Here is a 23,787-nt window from a genome sequence, read left to right as displayed (position 1 = left end):
TAAAATAATTATTTTTATACCTTGCTGGATTCTATATTGCTAATGTTTTGTTGCAGATTTTTGTGTTAAAGCCCATAAGAGATAAAAGTCTGTAGTTTGGGGGAGATTTTTGCTACAGTCCTTGTCTGGTTTTGGTATTAGGGTAATACTGGCCTTATAAAATGAGTTGAGGAAGTTGTGCAGAAAAGAGTTAACATAACAGGCTCTTGGCAGGCATCTGTGAACTTGGATTTCAGGAGAGCTCTCATTGTTCCCAGAACTGATAAGAATGGCTAACTATATCTAAGCTGTTTGTACAAATGTTATTTATGCTGGGACTAGAACTCAAGTCTCCTGATTCTCAAGCTGTGCAGAAAAGAGTTAACGTGAAAGGCCTCAGTGCTATCCTTTGAAAGCCCTGCATGCAAGGTCGGTCCTTGGATGGCATTTGGAACTTAGATTTGAAGAGGGCTCTCACCATTCCCAGGGCTGATGAGACTGTTCACTGGGCCTAAACTGTTCGTACAAACAATATGGTTTATGCTGAACACTTGTTTTCCTTCTAGGAGTCTGGAGTTTTGGTAAGCGCTAGGCAGAGGGTGCCTATATGACCAACCCCCAGTAAATGTCCTGGGAGCTGAGTTTTTAATGAACTTCCCTGATAGACAACATTTCACACGTGTTGTCACAACTTGTTGCTGGAGGAATTAGTACATCCTGCGTGACTCCACTGGGAGAGGACTCTTGGAAGCTTGTACCTCGTTTCTTCTATACTTCCATGTGCCTTTTGCCTTTGAAGATTTTGTTCTGTGTGCTCTCACCATGAATGTGACTGTCTGCTGCATTCTGAGTCCTCATAGTGAATCATCAAGCCTGGGAATGGTTTGGGGGACCCCTAGCACAGAAGTGTTCCCTCCTCTTTGGTATTATAGAATCTATTGTGTAAAATCGGTGTTAGTTCTTTAAATGTTGGGTAAAATATTCCAGTGAAACCATGTGGACCTGGAGCCTTCTTTTTTCAATAATTTTTACATTATAAATCCTATTTTAAAATAGTTATTAGACTATTCAGATGATAAATTTCATATTGGTCGAGTTTTGGTAGTTTGTAGTTTCAAGGAATTGGTCCATTCCATCTAAGTCGTTGAATTTATATATGTAGGGTTCTTGATAGAATTTCTCTATTTTCCTTTCAATGCCTGCAGGATCTGTAGTAAGATCCCCTGTCTCATTTGTGATTATAGTGACTTATGCCTTCTCTCTTTTTATCTTAGTCAATCTTGCTATAGGTTTATCAACTGTACTGATCTTTTCAGAGGAACAGCGTTTTGCTTAATTGATTTTATCTATTGTTTTCCTATTTTCAATTTCATTGATTTCTGCTGTTGTCTCTTTCCTTCTGCTTGCTTTGAAGTTTTAATTTTGCTCTTCTTTTTATAGTCTCTTGAGGTGGGAGCTTACCTGATTGATTTAAGACCTTACCTCTTCTTTTTTAAAAATTTTAAAAAAATATATTACAAATTTTTCTTTTAGTGGCAAGTGACCGGCAGCCTCTTTTCTAATGTAAGGATTTAGTGCCATAAACTCTCTTGTCAGCACTGCTTTAGCTCCATTCCACAAATTTTAATATGTTATATTTTCATTTTCATTCAGTTCATTGTATTTTTAAAAAATTTCCCTTGAGACTCCTTTTTTGACCTATGTATTAATGAGAAGTGTGTTGTCTAGTTTTCAAATATTTGGAGATTTTCCTGCTGACTTTGTTATTGATTTCTGGTTTGACTCCCTTATAGTCAGAGAACATGACACAGTGGTTCATGCCTGTAATCCCAGCACTTTGGGAGGCTGAGGCAGGAGGATTGCTTGAAGCCAGGAGTTCAAGAGAACATACTCTGCATGGTTTCAATTCTTTTACATTTGTTGAAATTTTGTATGATGCAAAATATGGGTTATGTTGGTGAATGTTTCATGGGTATTTGAAAAGAATGTGAGTTATGCTATTGGGTAGAATGTCCTATAAATTAGGTCCTGTTGCTTTATGGTATTGTTGAGTTCTATAATCCTGCTGATTTTCTGTCTAGTATTTCTATTGCTGAGAGGAGGGTATTGAAGTCTCCAACTATAATCATGGATTTACCTGTTTTTCTTTCAGTTCTATCAGATTTTACTTCATGTATTTTGAAGCCTTATTTATTGGTGCATACATGTTTAGGATTTCTTTGTCTTCTTGGTGGATTGACTCATTTATCATTGTGTAATATCTCTCTTTGTCCTTGGTAATTTTATTTGCTCCAAAGTCTACTTTTCTGATATTAACATATAGCCATATCTGTTTTTATAAATGAATGTCTGTGTAGTATATCTTTTTCTTTTCACTTTCTACCTATGTTATCGTATTTGAAGTAGTTTCATATAGACAGCACATAGAGGGTTATTTTTTTAAAAATCCATTTTGTGATTCTCTGCCTTTTAATTCATGTATTTAGACCATTTAATTAGAAGATAATTATTGGTATCTTAGGGCTTAAGTCTAATGTTTTATTATTTGCTTTTTGTCTGTTCCCTCTATTTCTCATTCCTCTGTTTGCTGTTTCTGGCCTTACTGTGGGTTACTTGAATATGTTTTAGAACTCCGTTTTACTTTATTATAATGTTTTTGAGTATATCAGTGTGTATAGTTTTCTGTTTTTTAGGTGTTAAAATATACACATATAACTTATAGTGTATTGTTATCAACATTTTACCACTTTTAGTAAGGGGTAGAAACTTTATTTTCCTTTAGGTTCCTTTATCCCTTACCCTCCCACTTTTTTTTCTTTTTTAGACATAGTCTTGCTCTGTCGCCCAGGCTGGAGTGCATGGCGCAACCTGAGCTTACTGCAACCTCTGCCTCCTGGGTTCAAACGATTCTCGTGCCTCAGCCTCCCGAGTAGCTGGGACTGCAGACATGCACCACCACGCCTGGCTAATTTTTGTATTTTTAATAGAGCTGAGGTTTCTCCATGTTGGTCAGGCTTCTCTCGAACTCCTGGCCTCAAGTGATCTGCCTGCCTCGGCCTCCCAAAGGGCTGGGATTACAGGCGTGAGCCACCGCACCCGGCCTGTCCTCCCACTTTAAAAATATAATTTCTATTTCTTGTACATACATTGAACCCACATCAGATGGTGTTACAATTTTTGCTTCAACAATTCAACATAATTGAAAGAAATTCATTAGGAAAAGGATAGTCTATTTATATTTATCCTTATTTTTTATACATTTCATTGTTTTCCTTCCTTTCTGAAGTTTCAGGCCTCCTCCTGCTATCATTTCCTTTTCGTTTGGAGAACTTCCTTTAGCTATTCATTAATAGTAAGTCTGCTAGTGAAATTTTTATAAATTTTCTGTCATCTGAGAATGTCTTTATTTCCCCTTTATTCCTGAAGGATATTTTCACTGAACATGGAATTCCAAGTTGACAGTTCTTTTCTTTCATCACTTGAAAAATGTACCACTTCCTTCCGGCCTTTATGGTTTCAGATGAGAAATCCACTATGATTTAAATCAGTGTTCCTCTATAGGTAATGTGTGTTTTTCTCTCTAGCTGCTTTCAAGATTTTTTTTCTCTATCTTTAGTTTTCAAAAGTTAGTTATGATGTGTCTTGGTGTGGATATTTTTGGGTTTTCCTGGCCTACTTTTGTGGACTGTGTAGTTCCAATGACAGTTTAGTTTTTAGAACCCTTGTGGCACTATTCTGGTCTGCTTTGTGTGCTACTCCCAAGCCACGTTGAAAACCTGAGTGGTATGCCACACAGTAGTTCAGTTGTCAGACCTGCAGACCTGGTGATTTACTTAGTTTCACGCTTGGGTCAGACAGGTGTCTTTCCAGGACTTCCTATGCAGATGTAAAGAATGCCTTTCTGCAGCTCCTTCCTCTCTAAGATCCCTTCTGCACTCTAATTGGAAGGGTGAGGGGCACCAGCTGCCACTGGCAGATAAGGGTGAAAGTCCAGACTCCTCACTCAGTCTCCACTGACATGGCAACAGTGGGGAGGGGAGCACCTGTCTGCATCCTCTGCTGATGCCTGCTGGGAGCCGGGCAGCAGATGTCCAGATTCCCCACTAGTTCTCTGCTGACACCACTGGTGGGAAAGTAAAGTACCTTCCCAGCTGCCTGCCACTTGATGGGGCTCGGGAGACTCCCCACTTGGTCCCCGTCATGGTGCCTGTGATGGAAAGTGCCTCCCTGGGCCGTCTGGTGCCACTGGGTGAGGGGTTGGGAGATGCTAGGCCGGTAGGGGTTGAAAGTACTAATCCTGCCTACCTGCTGCTGCTGGGTCGGGGACAAGCGTCTGGACTCCGTGCTGGGTATACGCTGATGCTGCCAGCAGGGCTGAGCACGCCTCCTCCGGCTGCCTGGTGTGACTGGGGCTCCCCCTAGCTCTTGGCTGTTGCCCAGCGTGGTAGGAAAGTGCTTCCCTGGTACCGCTGGGACTCCCACTCAATCCTGTCTGGTGTTCCCATGGGGGAAGAAGGCGGCTTTTTGCCCAGCCACCTGAGGCTACTGAATGGGGGACAGAGCTCTTCCAGTCCCTACTCAGTCTCACTCTGCTGACACCACAGGGTTCAGCTTGGGTAGGGCTGGTGCTGTCCACAGGGTTTTACTTATGCTGGGCTGGGTTTTTCTCCTTTCCCAGTCCTTTGGCCACAAAGAACAGGTTTTTGTTTTGTTTTGTTTGTCTGCTCTGATTGGAGATTCTAGGTTGCAGGCTTCTCCAGCACCCAGTCTGGAACATACAGAAGATAAAAAGAAAAGCCAGGAGCCCATCACAGTGTCGTTCCTCAAGTCCTGAAGTCTCTAGCCAGTCCACTTTCTTCTTTCCACCTACCAGTCCCCTTATGATGGACTTTTGTATTACTTTTAGGAATTTTAATTGTACTTAGCATGGAAAAGCAAAGAGAAATGGGTCTATGTCATCTTGTTTGAAGCTTGGTTACCTTACATTTTAAAATAAATTAATGAGGGCGGGCACGGTGGCTCACGCCTGTAATCCCAGCAATTTGGGAGGCCAAGGCAGGCGGATCACTTGAGGTCAGGAGTTCGAGACCAGCCTAGCCAACATGGCAAAACCTCGTCTCTACTAAAAATACAAAAATTAGCCAGGCATGGTGGCAAGCGCGGGTAATCCCAGCTACTTGGGAGGCTGAGGCAGGAGAATTGCTTGAACCTGGGAGGTGGAGGTTGCAGTGAGCAGAGATCATGCCACTGTACTCCAGCCTGGGTGACAGAGTGAAACTCTGTCTCGAAAAAAAGAGAGAAAAATTAATGAAATAATTAACAGATAAAGTTTTCAGTTTCAGTTGGAAAACACAAAGAATTTACACCTCCCGGGCTCAAGTGATTCTCGTGCCTCAGCCTCCTGAGTAGGGATTACAGGTGTGCGTCATCACACCTGGCTAATTTTTGTATTTTTAGTAGAGATGGAGTTTCACCATGTTGGCCAGGCTGCTCTCAAACTTCTGAGCTGAAGTGATCCACCTGCCTCAGCCTCCCAAATTGCTGAGATTACGGGCATGAGCCACCGCACCTGGCCTCTTTTTTTTTTCCCTTTTTTTTTCTTTTTTTCATTCATAAAATGAAACTGATAATGCTTGGACTTTGGTGGAAAGATACTTTCAGAAAGTATAGGGGATTATTTATCTGTCTTTGTTGAGCCACTGGTTGATGAAACTGGATGCAAGAGCTTTAAACTGCTGAAACACTCTGATAGTGTAACTCACCTAAAATGGGCTCAAGGAACCAAAAAAGAAAAGGCCAAAGAACTATAAAGAAGTAAAAGATCAATCTTGGCAAGACCTCCCTTCCTTTTTCTCCTTTCTCTCCAATCTCTTTCTTGCCCATCACGCCAAATTTCATATGATAAAAATCAATAACTGGCCCAATTTTCCTTAGACAAGTAAAATACCTACTTTCCATGAGTTACTTTGTCTGTGCACAGTAATACCTATGTAAATCCATACACAAATGCTCTGGAAGGATACAGACCAAACTGATAATTGTAGTTCCCAATGGGAGTGGGGATTGAAGAAGATTTTAGATTTATCTCCAATTTTTTCATGTAAAAAAAAAACAAAACCCTGTATTATTTGTGTAATTAACAATTAATAGCTGGGCACAGTGGCTCATGCCTGTAATCCCAGCACTTTGGGAGGCCGAGGTGGGCGGATCACAAGGTCAGGAGATCGAGACCATCCTGGTGGTTTCACCAACATGGTGAAACCCCGTCTCTACTAAAAATACAAAAATTAGCCGGGCGTGGTGGCGCGTGCCTGTAGTCCTAGCTACTTGGGAGGCTGAGGCAGGAGAGTCACTTGAACCAGGGAGGCGGAGGCTGCAGTGAGCAGAGATCATGCCACTGCACTCCAGCCTGGCAACAGAGCGAGACTCCATCTCAAAAAAAAAAATTAATAATGAAACAAAAACAATGTGTGCATTTGCCAAGACATGTGAGTCTGATATTGAACAGAATTTAAGATATGCTTTTTTCTCAATCAAAAATTATTTCACACTCTTGAAAACTAGTGACACCTAATATTTGCTCAGAATTTCACCACCATGACTCCGAAGAACATTTTCAGATAAAATTAGGAAAATTGCTGATTTTTCAAATAAAAAGCAATTGTAAACTCCAGCAACTTTATCTGTATTTATTGTTGAAGTGATAACATGTAAAAATGGTCTCCCTATGCACATAAGTAAATACAAAGCCACCTACAGTGAATCTTTATAGTCAATTTGATAAATTAATGAGCACTGGAAACCTCACTTGATTCTTCGCTACACAGTGATATCCAAAATAGTGCTGCTAGATAGAATCTGCAAAAAAATTGGAGAGGACTTTTAACTCATAGGACTTCACTTATGAAGTCTGTATTCATAGAAGGAGGCAAAAAAAATCAATATTTGTGGAACATCTACTGTGTTTCAAGTGTCTAACTTATGTTTTCTCATCTAATCCTTCCCAAGCCCTCAAGACAATAATCATTATTTCCCATTTTACAGGTAAGCAAACTAAGGCTCAGAGAGAAAATAACTTGTCCAACATTATTACTGGACAGTAGGCACACTTCAAAATAAAATGCTTTCTGCTCTTGTGTAGGTTCAAGTATTTCAAAGCACCTACCATTTCTAACTCAAGGGAGAGTGGATTCATTAAACATTTGTGACATGAGAAAATGATTTCTACAAATGAAATACACATCTGTTCTTTGAAATCCTTCTCAGGTGTTAACTTCAATTGAATTGAATAACTAACTTTTTAAATCAATGAACGGAAAACAGTTTAGTGGAATTAGGTAATAGCATACACCCAATGAGTGAGTTATAATCAGTATAGCTTCCTTTTACCAGATGGCTAATGACCTTCATAGACCAAATACATGTTACAACTGATGCCATGGATCCGTAATATTGACACTCTCTCCATAGAAGCCTATCTTAGCTTGTGATTTATTTTCACAAAGAACAAAATGTTCACTGATGGAAGTTAAAATCAAAATGAAACACCAAACATCACTGTAGTGGTCAGTTTTGTTTTTTGTTTTGTTTTGTTTTGAGACGGAGTCTTACTCTGTTGCCTAGGCTGGAGTATGGTGGTGTGATCTCGGCTCACTGCAACCTCCACTTGCTGGATTCAAGTGATTCTCCTGCCTCAGCCTCTCAAGTAGCTGGGATTACAGGCACTCACCACCACGTCTGGCTAATTTTTGTATTATTAGTAGAGACGAGGTTTCACCAGCCTTGAGGCCAGGCTGGTCTCGAACTCCTGGTCTCAAGTGACCCGCCCGCTTCAGCCTCCCAAAGTGCTGGGGTTATAGGCATGAGCCACTGTGCACCTGGCCTGTAATGGTCAGTTTTATGTGTTAACATAGCTAGGCTATAGTCCCTAGTTTATAACTGGCTAACATAAGCCAGTTATTCCATTAAAATCTAATCTAGGTGGTGCTGAGAGGTATTTTGTAGATGTGAATCAAGTCTATAATCAGTTGACTTTATGTAAACAAGATTATCCTAGATAATCTGGTGGGCCTGAATCAATCAGTTAAAGGCCTTAATAGCAGAATGGAGGCTTTCCTGAAGAAGAAATTCTGCCCATAGACAGCAGCATTGGCTTGTGCTCGAGAACTCCTGCCTGTCCTTTCTGATGGCCTGCTCTAAGGATTTCAGATTTCAGGCTTGCCTAGCTAGCCACCACAATCACATAAGCCAGTTCATCTATATCTATACCTATATCTATATCTATATCTACATGTGTCTCCTAATGGTTCTGTTTCTCTGTTAGAATCCTGACTGATACAATCACTATCTTTATTTTATATATAAATCCATAACTTATATGCACTTAAGAAAAAAAAACTAATTTTCCCTGGATTTCATATTCTTTCTTTGGATTGGATTTTTCTCCATCAGAAATTTCAAAAGGGATTAAGAAAGTGTCTGACTCCAGAGAATGCTCAGCTTCAGAGACTATCCATAATTTTCTTTCTTTCTTTTCTTTCTTTTTTTTAGATGAAGTCTTGCTCTGTCGCCCAGACTAGAGTGCGGTGGTGCGATCTCAGCTCACTGCAACCTCTGCCTCCTGGATTCAAGCAATTCTCCTGCCTCAGCCTCCCAGGTGCACGCCACCATGCCTGGCTAATTTTTGTAGAGACAGGGTTTTGCCATGTTGGCCAGGCTGGTCTTGAACTCCTGACCTCAAGTGATCTGCCCGCCTTGGCCTCCCAAAGTACTGGGATTACAAGCATGAGCCACCATGCCCGACCCATAATTTTCCATATTAGAAGTAAACTGCCCCATGTGTGGCTTAGGAGAGAGTTGTTCCTCTTGGGAACCATCATCTAAGTGAATTCTCAGAAGCCTCTGTATTTAGCTTCCTGAAGATAGACGCACCAGGGCCATAGGAGACAAAAGCCCATGAAAACTGCTCCAGGCCTTCCTCTATGCTCTATCCAAGTCCATTCATAAATCCTATGTGTCTGTTGAGGTGCAAGAACCAGTTTTCAAAAAATTTGTGTACATTTAAGGGGTAAAAGTGCAGTTTTGTTACGTGGATATAATGCATAGTTGTAACGTCCAGGCTTTTAGCATAACCATCACCTGAATAATATACATTGTACCCATTAAGTAATTTCTTATTCCTCACCACCCTCCCATCCTTCTGAGTTGCCAATGTCTATTATTCTATAGTAGAACCAGTTTGTTTGTTTGTTTTTTAATCATAACATCAATAATTTTCCTTAATTCCTTCAGAAATTTCTTGGGAATACTTTACTTGTCTGGGAGACATTACCCAAATGATTTCATTCCACTGTTTCATTTTTGTTTTTGAGACAGGGTCGCCTAGGCTGGAGTGCAGTGGTGTGATCATAGCTTACTGTAACCTTGAACTCCTGGGCTCAAGTGATCTTCCTGCCTCAGCCTCCCAAGTAGCTAGGACTATAGGTACATGCCATTATGCCCAGCTAATTAAATTTTTTTTTTTTTTTTTTTTTTTTTGTAGAGACAGGATCTTGCCGTCTTGTCCAAGCTGGTCTCAAACTCCTGGTCTCAGCTAATCCTCTCACCTCGACCTCCCAAATCATCCCACTTTTTATCCCCCTGAAGAAATTTTGGGGTTACTTTTAGAAATGTTCTTAAATCTTTTCTCTCCCTTTTTTTAACTGCTATTTTTTTATTCATCTATTTATTTAAAACTGATCTTCCAGAAATGATTTAATGTGGCCTGTGATGATACAATTAAATACAGCACAAAGATAAAAACTAAAATTGGCAGGAAAAAAGAGAAAGTAAAGAAGGAAAATAAAAAAGAGTAGGAGAGAAAAGGAGAAAGTGAAAAAGAAAAAAGGAAACAGATTAAAAATGAATAGTAGTCTATAAAATGTATGTGGCTCAAAAATTGGAAAAAAATAAGAAAAAATATATACTTCAAAATGTCCATGAGATAAAACCAAACCAACTAAGAGAATAACAACTATTTTTGGTGTGAAGACAGGAATTCCCCCAGAGATTTACTACAATATTCCCATTCTGTTGCTTTTTAAAAAGAGTAAACAAAGCATTGCTTCTAACCCCAGGTACCATGGTGAGGTTTAAAAAAAGACATCTTTAGGTAGCAACTGATTCCAGTTACATATTTTATTCTTACTTCTCCTAACTTTGGAAAGAATTTATCTGAAACTGCACACAAATTATGAAATCTTCATATTCCTTACTTAGTGCTTGACTCAAGAACCTATTTTGTCCAGTGGAGATAGTCAGGTATGGGGTATCAGAGACCAAGGAGTACTTAGAGAGAATCCTCCTAAAGTGACCTTGTGCGGGCATCAAACATCAAAGCTCAAACAGGATAAGGGGGTATCCACACGTGGTGGTGGTGGTGGAGGGGGATGCTCCCCAGCTTAGGGCATTGGAGTTTGAGCCAGTTGAAGAGTTCCTCCCACCTATCTATAGTGTTTCTTTTTTTGTTTGTTTTTGTTTTGTTTTGTTTTGTTTAGGAGCAGAGGTTTAATAGGCAGAAGAGAAGAGAAAGAGAAACAGCTCTCTCTATATATAGAGAGAGGGGTCTCCGAACAGAAAGGACCAGCAGGCGGCCCATGTGCCAGATTTTATAGTCAGGTTTGAGGAGGGGTGTCTGATTTACATGGGGCTCACAGATTGGTTTGATCAGGTATGACGTTTACATGGACTATGACATTCCCTGGTCTTGCCAAACAAGATTACTTCCCTGAACTGTAAAGCTTCCCACACATTGCATACAGAGAGGATAAGAGATATGGCGGTCGCAGACAGGAAAGGAGGAAATTACAAAAGGAAAGTTGGAGATCCTGTTGCCGACACCCCATCGAGGCAATTGGAGGCTGGGGCCAGTCCAGAAGCCTTTGGATAACACTGGGAGCTAGCCCTGGTCAGAAATCCTCAGCTGCCTCAGGACTTCTTCCAGCCCCACCTGATGGCTAAGTCTTCCGTGAAAGGAAGCTGGTTCAAACATGGCCAATATGCCCAGCAACCCATGGGTGCCGGGAGATTCTCCATGTTCTCCCTAGTAAGCCTGTCCCCCAAGTCTTTTAAGGCTGGCAGCCACACTAATCGTTTTTAAATGGCTGAAGGGGGCCCAGTATTTGGTTTGATTTGGTTCTAAAATGGAAGCCAAGAGCCTCGAAATGAAAGGACAGAGTTGGAGTCCCCTCATCTATTCATCGTTTCGGTGAATGTTGCACCTTGGTATCTCGGATGAGGTCCCCATTATGAAGTGACTACGTTGTCTGGGGTATATACCCTGGGGTTCATTGTCACGCGACAGGAAAATTTAGGACACGGACACACACAAGGAGTTTAGGAGTGGAGGTTTAATAGGCAGAAGACAAGAGAAAGAGAAACAGCTCTCTGTCTATAGAAAGAGAGGTCTCCGAGCGGAAAGGACCCTATGGTGTATTTTAAACTAAACAGATAATGCATGCTTCGTGTGGCAAATACTGATAGTTGCTTACCCAATAGCCACTCTTTTCACCTTTACTTTCAGAACTTCAATTTTTCAGCAAAACAATGTGCCTAGTAAAAATAATTCCTCAGACTCCCTTGAAGCCAGAATGGACATGTGATCCAGCTCTGGCAAATGAGATCTAAGCAGAAGTCTACTGCATGAGGCTTCTGGGAAAGTTATTGTTTTCCTGATGAAAGGGGACAGACTTAGCTGGCCTTTTGCCACTCTCTTTATTCTTTCTGCCTAGAATGCAGTCACAATACTTAAGAGGTATGAGAGCTATCTTACCAGCAAATAGAAAAAACTACATGATTAGGATGGCCAGGAAGGAAGACAGAAAGAGCCCAGGACCTTTCTATCGCACTAACCCACTTTCTAACCCACTGTGGGTTGCCTCCCTCAAGCCTTTGTGTTACATGAGAACCAGGTATGAGAGCTATCTTACCAGCAAATAGAAAAAACTACATGATTAGGATGGCCAGGAAGGAAGACAGAGCCCAGGACCTTTCTATCCCACTAACCCACTTTCTAACCCACTGTGGGTTGCCTCCCTCAAGCCTTTGTGTTACATGAGAACCAGCATGTTATTCCTTTTTTGGTAACCTGCTAACGGTTCTCTTCACCCTCCTACCCCCATCCTACAGTGTTCAGCTCATTTCAATAAGTTACTGATTTAGTGGTATTAATGTACTAGAACCTCCTCGAACATATTCATATTTGCATTCATCCTACCAGCTTCTGCCTCAGGCAGTATTTGGCTGCCTAAGGCCAAGATGGGGCAGATATAGAAGTCTTGGTGTTGTCCACAGTGGGTTTTGTGTCATTTTGGAAAAAATAAGACATAAGAGAAGTAATACTTCAATGTTTTATATGATTAAGGGGAAGGAGAACTAACACTAGGGCTGGTGCTTTTACTTATAGAATGCTCAAAATAACTGCAAAGCATGCATCACTCTCTTTTTGCAGAGGAGGAAACTAAAGACATTACATAGCTGATGAAGATCTAGGCAGGTAGTATGTAGCAGAATATAAGTCAAACTCAGGTCTGATGGTTCTCAAATCCACACTTGTTCTTTGCAACTCTGACACAACTAGCCAAAATGATCATGGGTCAGTGGCTTCCTGGAGGAGATAGAACTTGGACTAGTCCTGAAGGATGGGCAAAATTTGAAGCTTCGAGGTAGGGAGTAGAAAAAGGGATTGCAGGTATGGAAAGGAACATAAGCAAAGACCAGCTTTCATTGATCATGCCCCATTCAATAGTCAGGAGATGAAATCACTAAAGCAGAGGACTCAGTTCTTTAAACACATAATATCTATTGACTTATCTCCTGTGATATCCTGTGATAGTCACTGTGAGATATGCCAAGGTTAATTTTTTGAAAGTACCTGGCATGTAGTTGCTGCCTGTTTTTTGTTTGTTTGTTTTAGTTTTGTTTTGTTTTTTGAGACAGAGCCTCACTCTGTCACCCAGGCTGGAGTGCAGTAGCATGATGTAGAGACAGGGTCTTGCCATGTTGCCCAGGCTGGTCTCAAACTCCTGGGCTCAAGCGATCCTCCCACCTTGGCCTCCCAAAGTGCTGGGATTACAAGTACAGGTGTAAGCCACTGTACCTGGCCATTTTTTTTGTCCTTTAAGAAAGTGCTGGCTGGGCGCAGTGGCTCATGCCTGTAATCCCAGCACTTTGGGAGGCCGAGGTGGGTGGATTATATGAGGTCTGGAGTTCAAGACCAGCCTGGCCAACATGGTGAAACCCCATCTCTACTAAAAATACAAAAAAATTAGCCAGGCGTGGTGGCAGGCACCTGTAATCCCAGCTACTCGGGAGGCTGAGGCAAGAGAATCACTTGAATCCGGGAGGCAGAGGTTGCAGTGAGCCGAGATCACGCCATTGCACTCCAGCCTGGGCAACAAGAGTGAAACTCCATCTCAAAAAAAAAAAAAAAAAAAAAAAAGAAAGAAAGAAAGAAAGTGCTCTCCTTTCTCAAAGTGAAGGTACTCATCATTTGGATTACTCAGAAAGCTGACAATCTAGCTAGGGAGATTTTTAAATTATTTAAGAGTTCCAAAATAGAAAGTGTCACAAGATGATATAAGACTGGTGATAACAGCCCCAGGGGCTATGCTCTTAACTACTATGCTCTTTTACCCTGCAGTGTATAGGATGTACAGGATGAAAAGATCCCAAGTGAGGACCCCAATCAGGAGGCTGATGTAAGTAACCATGGGGTCATTAGGTTGATGATGAGGGACATGAAAAGGAGAGGATGGAGAAGAAAAACATTTCAACAACAAGGCTAGTTAACAGCTGCTTAGCAGAGTGGAAAAAAGAACAAGCTAAAATGACCCCAAAATGTCAATGGTATAACTAAGATAACTGCATGTCATCGATGGAAATGGAAATGCCAGGACAGGGAGACCATCTGGGAAAGAGAAATATAATGAGTTGAATTTAGTACATGGTGAGACGAGGAGAACAATTATTTAACTATTCAAGTGAGCATATTTGGTAGAGAGTTGGCAGATTGAGGAATGGCAGTCAGATGAATGGCTGTGCTCTGTAGTGACAGTTGAATCTGTGGTGAGAAGGGTTCATGTACTTGAAGGAAAGAATATATAGGGCTGCAGCCACCCATTGAAACCTCTTTGTCCTCCTTGCCCTTGTTGTCGACATCACGTTCCAGTTCCTGCTTGCACTTGCTTTTGGCAATGTGGTTGGAATGTATGTGGCTCAGAACTATGACATACCAAATCTAGCTAAAACATGTGAAGAAATTAAAAAGGAATTGGGTGCCAAGAAGACACCCCCTAGTTCATGAGGTTGACTCCAGCACTGCCTTCTGGATACACCGATTCCACTGCTCTTCAGGCCCTCCTTTACCATCTGAACCAAAAACTTTTGCTTTGTCTTCAGCCTCAGTGATTTTTCTTCTTTGCTAGACCCTGCATTGCCTTAGAACAAAAATGGAGCTAAAAACTATCCTTACTTTCCAACATCTTTGCCTCTTCCCATCCTCCTTTCAGCTGCTTGGGAGGTTCTAAGACTGGAAATATGGTGCTAAATTAGTAAACTAGTAGACTCTCCCGTACTCTTCAGGATTTCTACTATAGGTTGAACATCCCTGGTCCAAAAATCTGAAATCTAAAATGTTCCAAGATCTGAAACTTGAGTGGTCATGCTCAAAGGAAATGCTCATTGGAGCATTTTGGATTTCAGATTTTTGGATTAGGGATGCCCAACTGGGAAGTATAATACAAATATTCTAGTCCGAAAAAATTAAAAAATCCAAAACACTTCTGGTCCCAAGCATTTCAGATAAAGGATACGCAACCCGTATTTTTTATCAAAAGAAAAATTGATGAGTATTATATAATTGGTCAGATACAAATAATGCTGATTTTCCAGTTTAGCAATTGTAATGGTTAAACATTTGATACTAAGTTAGGTTGCTTCAAAGTAATTAAAATTAATATTTAGAAGCAAAAAAAATAACATAAGGATAAAAGCAGAGGACTCAAGACTGAGTCTTGTACTGTGATGACAGCTGAGGTGGAGGAGGGTAGAGGAAAAAAGAAATGAGGAGCTAGCCAAAAAGACTAAGTCTCAGAGAAGTAGAAAACACTGAGTCTGGCACAGTTCCTGGCCCAAGAAGCAGTGCTCAGTGAATTCATAGATGGGGGACAACTGCATTCAATATCCCAGGAACCAAAATTGGAAGAAATTTTGAAGAAAAATGGAGTGATTTTCACTGATGTAAAAAATGCTACAGGGGCCGGGAGCAGTAGCTCACACCTGTAATCCCAGCACTTTGGGAGGCTGAGGCAGGTGGATCACCTGAGGTCAGGAGTTCGAGACCAGCCTGGCCAACATGGTGAAACCCCATCTCTACTAAAAATACAAAAATTAGCTGGGTGTAGTGGCGGGCGCCTGTAGTCCCAGCTACTTAGGAGGCTGAGGCAGGAGAATCGCTTGAACCCAGGAGGCAGAGGTTGCAGTGAGCCGAGACCTCGCCACTGCACTCCAGCCTGGGCGACAGAGCAAGACTCCATCTCAAAGAAAAAAAGAAGCTATAGGGAACAAAGTGTGATTTTTAAAACACACCTATAGATCCTGACAAGATTTAGAAGCACGCTTCTGGAGTATAAGTGGTATTAACACTGGTAACTTTTTGTTGTTGTTGTTGTTGTTGTTGAGACAAGGTCTTGTTCTATCACCCAGGCTGGAGTGCAGTGGCATGATCATGGCTCACTACAGCCTTGACCTCCTGGGCTCACGCAATCCTCCCACTTCAGCATCCCAAGTAACTGGGACTACAGACACACACCACCACGCCCAGCTTAATTTTTAAATTTTTTGTAGAGATAGGCTCTTGTCATGTTGCCTAGGCTGGTCTTGAACTCCTGGGCTCAAGCAAACTTCTTGCGTCAGCCTCCCAGTAGCTGGGATTATAGGCACATTATAGGTGTAGTGACACCTGGCTAATTTTTTCATAGTTTTTGTGGAGACAAGGCCCTACTATGTTGCACAGGCTGATCTAGAACTTCTGGGCTCAAGTGATCTTCCTTCCTCGGCCCCCCAAAGTGCTGGGTTTATAGGCGTGAGCCACCACATCTGGCCTGATAGCATTCTTAGGAGGTAAAAAGGAGTAATGCACATGAACAACAATAAAAGTTGTGCCAACTGACTTGGTGACTCTTAATTAATCTCAATCTCTTAATTGAGTTGGAGTTCTTCATCAGCTACTTTAGTTGCTGAGGAAACATCTTTTATTCTGGGCTCCAGGTCCAGTCTATGATATCCAGCCAAAAGCCATCTCTTTCCAGCCATCTCTGAGCACTAATTTTTTTGCTTTCCCTGCATTCCACCCCAAGTAAAAAAAGACCACCCAACTAATTTTTGGAAAAGTATTCCCGTGATTTTTTCTACTTATTCTTTTCTCCTTCACTCTCTACCACATTCTTTGTTTTTTACCCCCAACTTTTATTTTAAAACAGATAGTATATTTATGAAGTTCAAAAATCAAAACTGTAAAAGGTATACATTTTAAAAGTCTCATTTCCTTGGCTGGGCACATTGGCTCACACCTGTAATCTCAGCACTTTGGGAGGCCGAGGCAGGAGGATTGCTTGAGCCCATGGGCAACATAGTGAGACCCTCTCTGTACAACAAAAAGAGTCTAATTCTCACTTTTGACCCCACTCCCCTTGTTTCCCCTTGTCTTCTATAAGTAACTTGTATTAGTTTCTTATTTGCCCTTTCAGTGGTTCTTTTTTGGGTTTTTTTGTTTGGTTGTTTTGTTGTTGTTGTTGTTTGTTTTTTTTTGAGACAGTCTCATTCTGTCACCTAGGCTGGAGTGCAGTGGCATAATCTCAGCTCACTGCAACCTCCGCCTCCCGGGTTCAAGCAATTCTCCTGCCTCAGCTTCTTAAGTAGCTGGGATTACAGGTGCCTGCCACCACACCTGGCTAATTTTTGTATTTTTAGTAGAGATGGGATTTCACCATGTTGCCCAGGCTGGCCTTGAACTCCTCACCTCAGGAGTTTGCCTTGGCCTCCAAAAGTGCTGGGATTACAGGCATGAGCCACTGTGCCCAGCCCTTTCAGTGGTTCTTGATGTAAAATTAAGCATACACACACACACACACACACACACACACACACACACAATCTCCCCTTTCTTAACACATAAGGTAGCATAGTGAGTACACTGTTCCAGATCTTGGTTTTGTCATCTAACAGTAAGATTTCTCCTGATCAGTACTTAGAGAGATAGATCTTTGGGTTTTTGTTTTTGAGATAGAGTCTTGCTCTGCCACCCAGGCTGGAGGGCAGTGGCACAATCTCAGCTCACTGCAACCTCCACCTCCCAGGTTCAAGCGATTCTCCTGCCTTAGCCTCCCGAGTAGCTGGGATTACAGGTGTGCACCACCATGCTTGGCTAATTTTTCTATTTTTAGTAGAGATGGGGTTTCACCACGTTGGCCAGGTCTCGAACTCCTGGCGTCAAGTGGTCCGCCTGCCTCAGCCTCCCAAAGTGCTGGGATTACAGGCGTGAGCCACCACACCTGGCCTGTTTTTGTTTTTGACTTCGTGTTTATTTGAATGTTGTTTCTTTACCCATCTTCAGTCTTTTCTCCCATCTTTAATGCTTTGCACAATACCATGTTTAGGCTTTATAACTGCCTGGAGGGTTATATGTAATTTTGATATGCCCCTCCCACTGGAATAGTGGTTAAGAGCACAGATACTGGTTTAGATCCCAGTTCAGACACTTACTTGCTGTGGTAATGCTGGTCTTAAGGGTAAAGGAAGCTCAGATTTTCTCTTCTCTTTTTCTCCTCCAACCCCCCCACCCAGAAGGAATGTTAATCTGGATTGGGAAGATTCCATGGCACTAGGCTGTACCACAGTCATAGAAAGAGGAACTTTAAGAAGACTAAAGAGGTAAGTGGTTGTCTCCATCTTCTGCCTGGAAGTGCCCTGTTGCTCATTCTCCCTTTCTCTCCCTTTGCAGCAGCCAGGCCTAGAGGTACAGGCTCCCAAGCATCAATACAACCATCTTTCTTTCAATTTTCTCCTCCTCTAGCACTCATAGGCAGGCCCTCGTCCCATCAGTGGAGGAAGAGCAGATCCTAGAATGTGTGCTTTGGGGGCCGCAGGCCAATCTAGCACAGGAAAACTGCTATGGGCCAGCGCGAGTCCTTACAGTTCTACACTGGTGGTTAGGGCCAAAGCTCCAGCTAATAATGAAGAATCTTTGCTTTGTTTTCTACTCTGGGCATAGATTTCCCTGAGATCGCCTGGAAACAGGTAGTTGGGGCAAGATTCAGGTTCTATTCTGGTTCTACTCCATTTTGGCCAAATACATCCTTAACCATATTGATCTCATCCTTTAATAGGTCCCCTCTTCCCAGTTTTCAAACATGTGACCCTGAACAAATGAGGTACTTGACCTAAGTGTCAATTTCTTCATCTGGCAAAATGGGACCAGTAATGCAGTCTTCATACACTTGATGTGAAGGTTAAATGACTTAATATATGCAAAATAGTGAGCACAGTGCCTGGCTATTATAGCAGGTGCTCAGTAAATGGTTGCTATTATTTTTATTGCTAAGCAGTATAGTGTAGTGGCTAAGAGCATGGCTTTCGGAGTTAAACGGCTCTCTCTGGCCTTGGATCCAGACTCTGAGCTTAGCACCTGTTTGACCAAGGGAAATTAGCTCTCTAAGCTTCAATTTCCTCAATAATAATAATAATAAAGGAATAGTAATAGTACCTCTCTTAGGGTTGCTGAGAAGATTAAATGAGATTCTATATGTAAAGTACTTAACACAGAAACACAGAGTTTGATATATAAGTAGCTGCTATATCTTAACAGCATTTAAAAACTCAAACCCAACTATACTTAAATGATTTATGTCCCTTCAGATACAGTGAGAGGAACCTCTTTACATATACTTGAGCTGGGGAAGAAAGTAACATTTACCCATAAAAATGCACTCATAGTCTATATTTGTATACTTAAATTTTTGTTATGACATAGACTTCATCTCTACAAAAAAATTAATAAATTAGCAAGGCATGGTGGCATGCACCTATAGTCCCAGCTACTTAAGGAGCTGAGGTGGGAGGATCCCTTGAGCCTGGGAGGTCACAGCTGCAGTGAGCCATGATTGCACCACTGCACTCCAGCCTGGGTGACAGAGCAAGACCCTGTCTCAAAATTTTTTTTTGTTAAGGGAGTAGATTTTGTGTCACCTATTTTTCACAATTTTTTTTAAAAAAGCACTCATACAAACAAGTTTTAAGACCAGGCATAGTGGCTCACGCCTATAATCCCAGCACTTTGGGAGGCTGAGGCAGGAGGATTACTTGAGCCTAGGAGTTCAAGAACAGCCTGGGCAACATAGCAAGACCCCATCTCTACAAACAATTTAAAAATTAATTGGGCATTGTGACATGTGCGTGTAGTCCCAGCTACTTGGGGGACTCAGGTAGGAGGCTCACTTGAGCCCAGGAGTTCGAGGTTACAGTGAGCTGTGATGACACCATTGCACTCCAGCCTGGGTGACAGAGCAAGATCCTGTTCCTAAAAAACAAAGAAAAAAAATTAAGCAAGTTTATAAGGGTGAAGGGAGGACACTGTGAGATTCTGAGCATTTACTGTGTCCTATGGTTTACATCTTTCCTTATACTTATGCTAATATAAAAATATAAAATACAGATAACATATATAACATATATAAAATAATATAAAAATAATCGGAACATTATTTTTGGAGTGTTATTTTGTAGTGGGGTTAGATTCAGTATGAACAGCACCATATAGGTATCAAATGCTGCCCTACCTATTGCTCTAACCTTTGATTATTTGCTTTACACAATAGTAACACAAAAGGATTTGTAGTATTATACACCTGATCAAAGTTGTATAAAGAATGTCTGCATTTGTTTTTATTTCAAGCTGCTGAGCCCTGGCTCAAGTCAGAAACGTCTGACTCTTCAAATCTAAGCACCACATTTATACACTTGTTTTCTGTTTTTTTTGTGTTATGCTACCTTTAAAACAGTAATTAGAAGGGGATAATCATCTGCCACCTGAATCCTGGTCTACTGCTACCATTGAATAAATGCAAAAAAAAAAAAACCTTTCTTTTCAAAAAAATTTGGTAGAGATGGTATCTCGTTATGTCACCCAGGCTGGTCTCAAATTCCTGGCCTCAAGCTATCTTCCCGCTTCGGCCTCCCAAAGTGCTGGGATTACAGGCATGAGCCCTGTGTCTGGCCACACACAAAATAAATAAGTAAATAAATAAATAAAAATTTAAAAAAAGCTTCCTAAATAAGAAATTACAATTAAGACTCATATGAAGACATCAATGTATTTATACTAAAGAAACAGAAAAAAAATTCAAAGTAAATAAAGGTAGAGTGTGCATTTAGAATTTTACTTTTCTTCCAAATTTTAGATTTACAACTAAGCCTTTATTCCAGGAAAGAAAGAAAAGCCACTGTTAACTATCATATTCTCCCCCAAATATTAGAGCAACACTGAACACTTTCCTGGACAGTCCTGTACATGTTTTATTGGTGATGCCCAAGCTTATCCCTGAACACTGGGAAAAGTGGGAAGATGTCAAGAGATAAAAGACAGAGGATGACAGATCTGAGAGGGACCGAGTGACTAACTTTCCTCTGCAAGCTCAAAGCAAGAAGTTGACTGCTTTTTCATTTGAACTCTGCCCCAGCATCAACAAATCACCACTCTGGGTTTATGCAACTTGTTTCCTAATTGAATAAAATAAGCCTGAATATGAAAACATATCAGAAGAAAATTTAAGTCAGAAAAAATTTAAGTTAGAAACTGCTGTGCTCTTATCTGTTTCCAATGAATACCAATGATGTTCTTAAAGCTTCCTAGGAGCCTCAATGGGCAGAAACCATAGTTACTATTTCAGTACAAAACAGAAAAAATAGAGATTGTAGAAGGATTGTTACTCGAAAGCCAATCAAGGAGAGTACCTGAAAGGAGGAATTACAGAAGAGACTAAAGTCTGATAGAGTAGAATGAAACACTGGATTGTGAATATTCAATTAAAAAATATTAAACATAGATCACTTTACTGGACTCTAAGCTACTCTCTAGGAATAGAACAATTTCTAAGCCTTGATTCTAGAGCCAATAGTCTAGGCCAAGGCTTCTTAAACTTTAATGTGCATATGAATCCCCTGAAAATCTTGGCTCATGCCTGTAATCCCAGAACTTTGGGAGGCTGAGGTGGGCAGATCACTGGAGGGCAAGAGTTCGAGACCAGCCTGACCAACATAGCGAAACTCCATCTCTACTAAAAATACAAAAAAAAAAAAATTAGCTGTGCATGGTGGCACACAACTGTAATCCCAGCTACTCCGGAGGCTGAGGCACAAGAATTGCTTGAACCCAGGAGGTGGAGGTTGCAGTGAGCTGAGATCGTACCACTGCACTCCAGCCTGGGTAACAGAGCATCTCAAAAAAAAAAAAAAAAAAAAAAGTCGAGGCTTATTCAAGAGATCTGGAGTAGAGCCTTAAATTCTAACAAATTCCTAGGTGATACTGATGCTGCTGGCCCATGGACTACACTTTGAGTAGCAAGAAACGCATGGATAAAGAAATAGAGTGAAGTGTTGCAGGTACTTGGAAATCTATAAAGAGTACTATGTGAGCACCATGGAGGGCCTTTCTACCTCAGAGTATTAGAAAAGGCTTCATACAGGAAGGGATGGATGGGCTGAGTCTTCTCCTGGTAATCATGGGGATAAAGTCAAGAGGTCAACATTAAAGTTCAGTGACTATGGTGTGAGTTGGACAGGCCGTCTAAACTTTCTGGCCCTCAATTTTCTTTCTTTTTTTCTTTTTTGAAATGGAGTCTCATTCTATCACCCAGGCTGGAGTGCAGTGGTGCTATCATCTCAGCTCAGTGCAACCTCCGCCAATCAAGCCATTCTCCTAGCTCAGCCTCCCAAGTAGCTGGGATTATAGGGGCGTGTGACCACACCCAGCTAAGTTTTGTATTTTTAGTAGAGATGGGGTTTTACCACGTTGGCCAGGCTGGTCTTGAACTCCTCACCTCAGGTGATCCACCCACCTTGGCCTCCCAAAGTGCTGGGATTACAGGCGTGAGCCACTGTGCCCAGCCTCAATTTTCTTCCTCATCAGTAAAATGAGGGATTAAAAATGTCCAGACCCTACATGATCCTAAAACCAGATTACTGTGAGACAAGTTTTAAAATATTTAATATAAGATCAGTTTAGAAGTTAGGGTGAAATAGTATAAAAGATTCTAAGCCAGGTACGGTGGCTCGTGCCTGTAATCCTAGCACTTTGGGAGGCCAAGGCGGGTGGATCACCTGAGGTCAAGAGTTCGAGGCCAGGCTGGCCAACATGGTGAAACCTCATCTCTATTAAAAATACAAAAATTAGCTGGGTTTGGTGTTGAGTGCCTGTAATCCCAGCTACTTGGGAGGCTGAAGCAGGAGAATTGCTTGAACCGAGGCGGAGGTTGCAGTGAGCCAAGATCGCACCATTTGCACTCCACCTGGGCAACAGAGCAAAAACTCCATCTCAAAAAAAAAAAAAAGTATAAAAGGTTCTATCAATTCACCTAACAAACAAACCAACATACATTTGACAAATGAAAGTACATCAATCAATAGGAAAACCGCAGTAAGTCTTGTATTTTTAGTAGAGACGAGGTTTCACCTTGTTGTCCAGGCCGGTCTCGAATTCCTGACCTCAAGTGATCCTCCAACCTTGGCCTCCCAAAGTACTGGGATTACAGGCGTGAGCCTCCATGCCTGGCCCAAACCGCAGGAAGTCTTAACAGCATCTTGCACTTGTTTTTTCCTGTTCAGTTGCCTATTTGTAGCCGAGTGTATGGCTTCACAGCAGAACTGCTTTAAAAGAATACCATATAGAAGTCTTTCTTTATTTGCAGCGATACATTCCAAGACCCCTAGCGGATGCCAGAAACCATGGATAGTACCAGACCCTATATAAACTATGATTTTTCCTATATATACATACGTATATACATATAACATTTAATTTATAAATTAAGCACAGTAAGAGATTAATAAAACAGAACAATTATAACAATATACTGTAATAAAAGTTATGTGAAGGTGATGTCTCTCAAAATATCTTATTGTTCTGTACTCAGGTATTTTGGGACTGTTGGTTGACCACGGGTAACTGAAACCACAGAAAGTGAAACGCAGATAAGTGGGGAGTCCTACTGTACTCATTTTGCTCAGCACAATAATGCTTAATATTTATAAAGTACCTTTCATTTTCAAGGCACTTTACAAACATCAGTTAATTACTTGTCACACAATTTGCAAGTTAATTTTCATTAGTCCAATTAGGAGTGGACCAGATAAAACTGAAAGAGTAAAGGCAGGCCCCAGAGGGAGGATCCAAGCCAAGGTGAGAATGGTGGGGCTGTGTATGACTTATGCTCACAGTTTTTATAGGTGAGAAACAGCCCTCACCAGGAGAGCACTAAAACACTAGAAAAGGAAGAAATTGCCATTTCTGAACATCTTGCTGGAGTTTGCCACTAAGAACCAAAACATATAAGGAAAGAGGTGAAGTATTTTAAAGGCTTATTACCCCACCCCATCTACAAAAAAAGAAGTCAACAGTGAATGACTCCATTTTCACAAAAAAGATGTCTATTATGAAAATTCAAATGAAGTTTAGCTTTCTTCGTGTTGTAGTTTTAAAGGATAAAATATTTTCTAGAA

The 23,787-nt window shown here is 41.2% G+C and overlaps 1 long non-coding RNA gene across 1 annotated transcript, besides 1 other annotated feature; it reads left to right on the top strand.

Moving 5' to 3' along the window:
* Positions 4,028-4,287: an enhancer, noted in NCBI's record as "active region_29578". NCBI's record gives its function as "activates an Ori minimal core promoter by ATAC-STARR-seq in GM12878 lymphoblastoid cells {active_cell/tissue: GM12878}" and the evidence as "EXISTENCE:reporter gene assay evidence [ECO:0000049][PMID:35858748]".
* On the top strand, positions 8,535-20,822 carry LINC01545 (long intergenic non-protein coding RNA 1545). The gene is made up of 4 exons (NR_046101.1): positions 8,535-8,635; positions 13,658-13,715; positions 17,860-17,946; positions 20,547-20,822. It is a non-coding gene; the product is annotated as a long intergenic non-protein coding RNA 1545 (long non-coding RNA).
* The last annotated feature ends 2,965 nt before the right edge of the window (positions 20,823-23,787 follow it).

Source organism: Homo sapiens, chromosome X, assembly GCF_000001405.40.
Source record: "Homo sapiens chromosome X, GRCh38.p14 Primary Assembly".
Taxonomy (NCBI): domain Eukaryota; kingdom Metazoa; phylum Chordata; class Mammalia; order Primates; family Hominidae; genus Homo; species Homo sapiens.
This window is presented reverse-complemented; position numbering and strand designations above follow the sequence as displayed.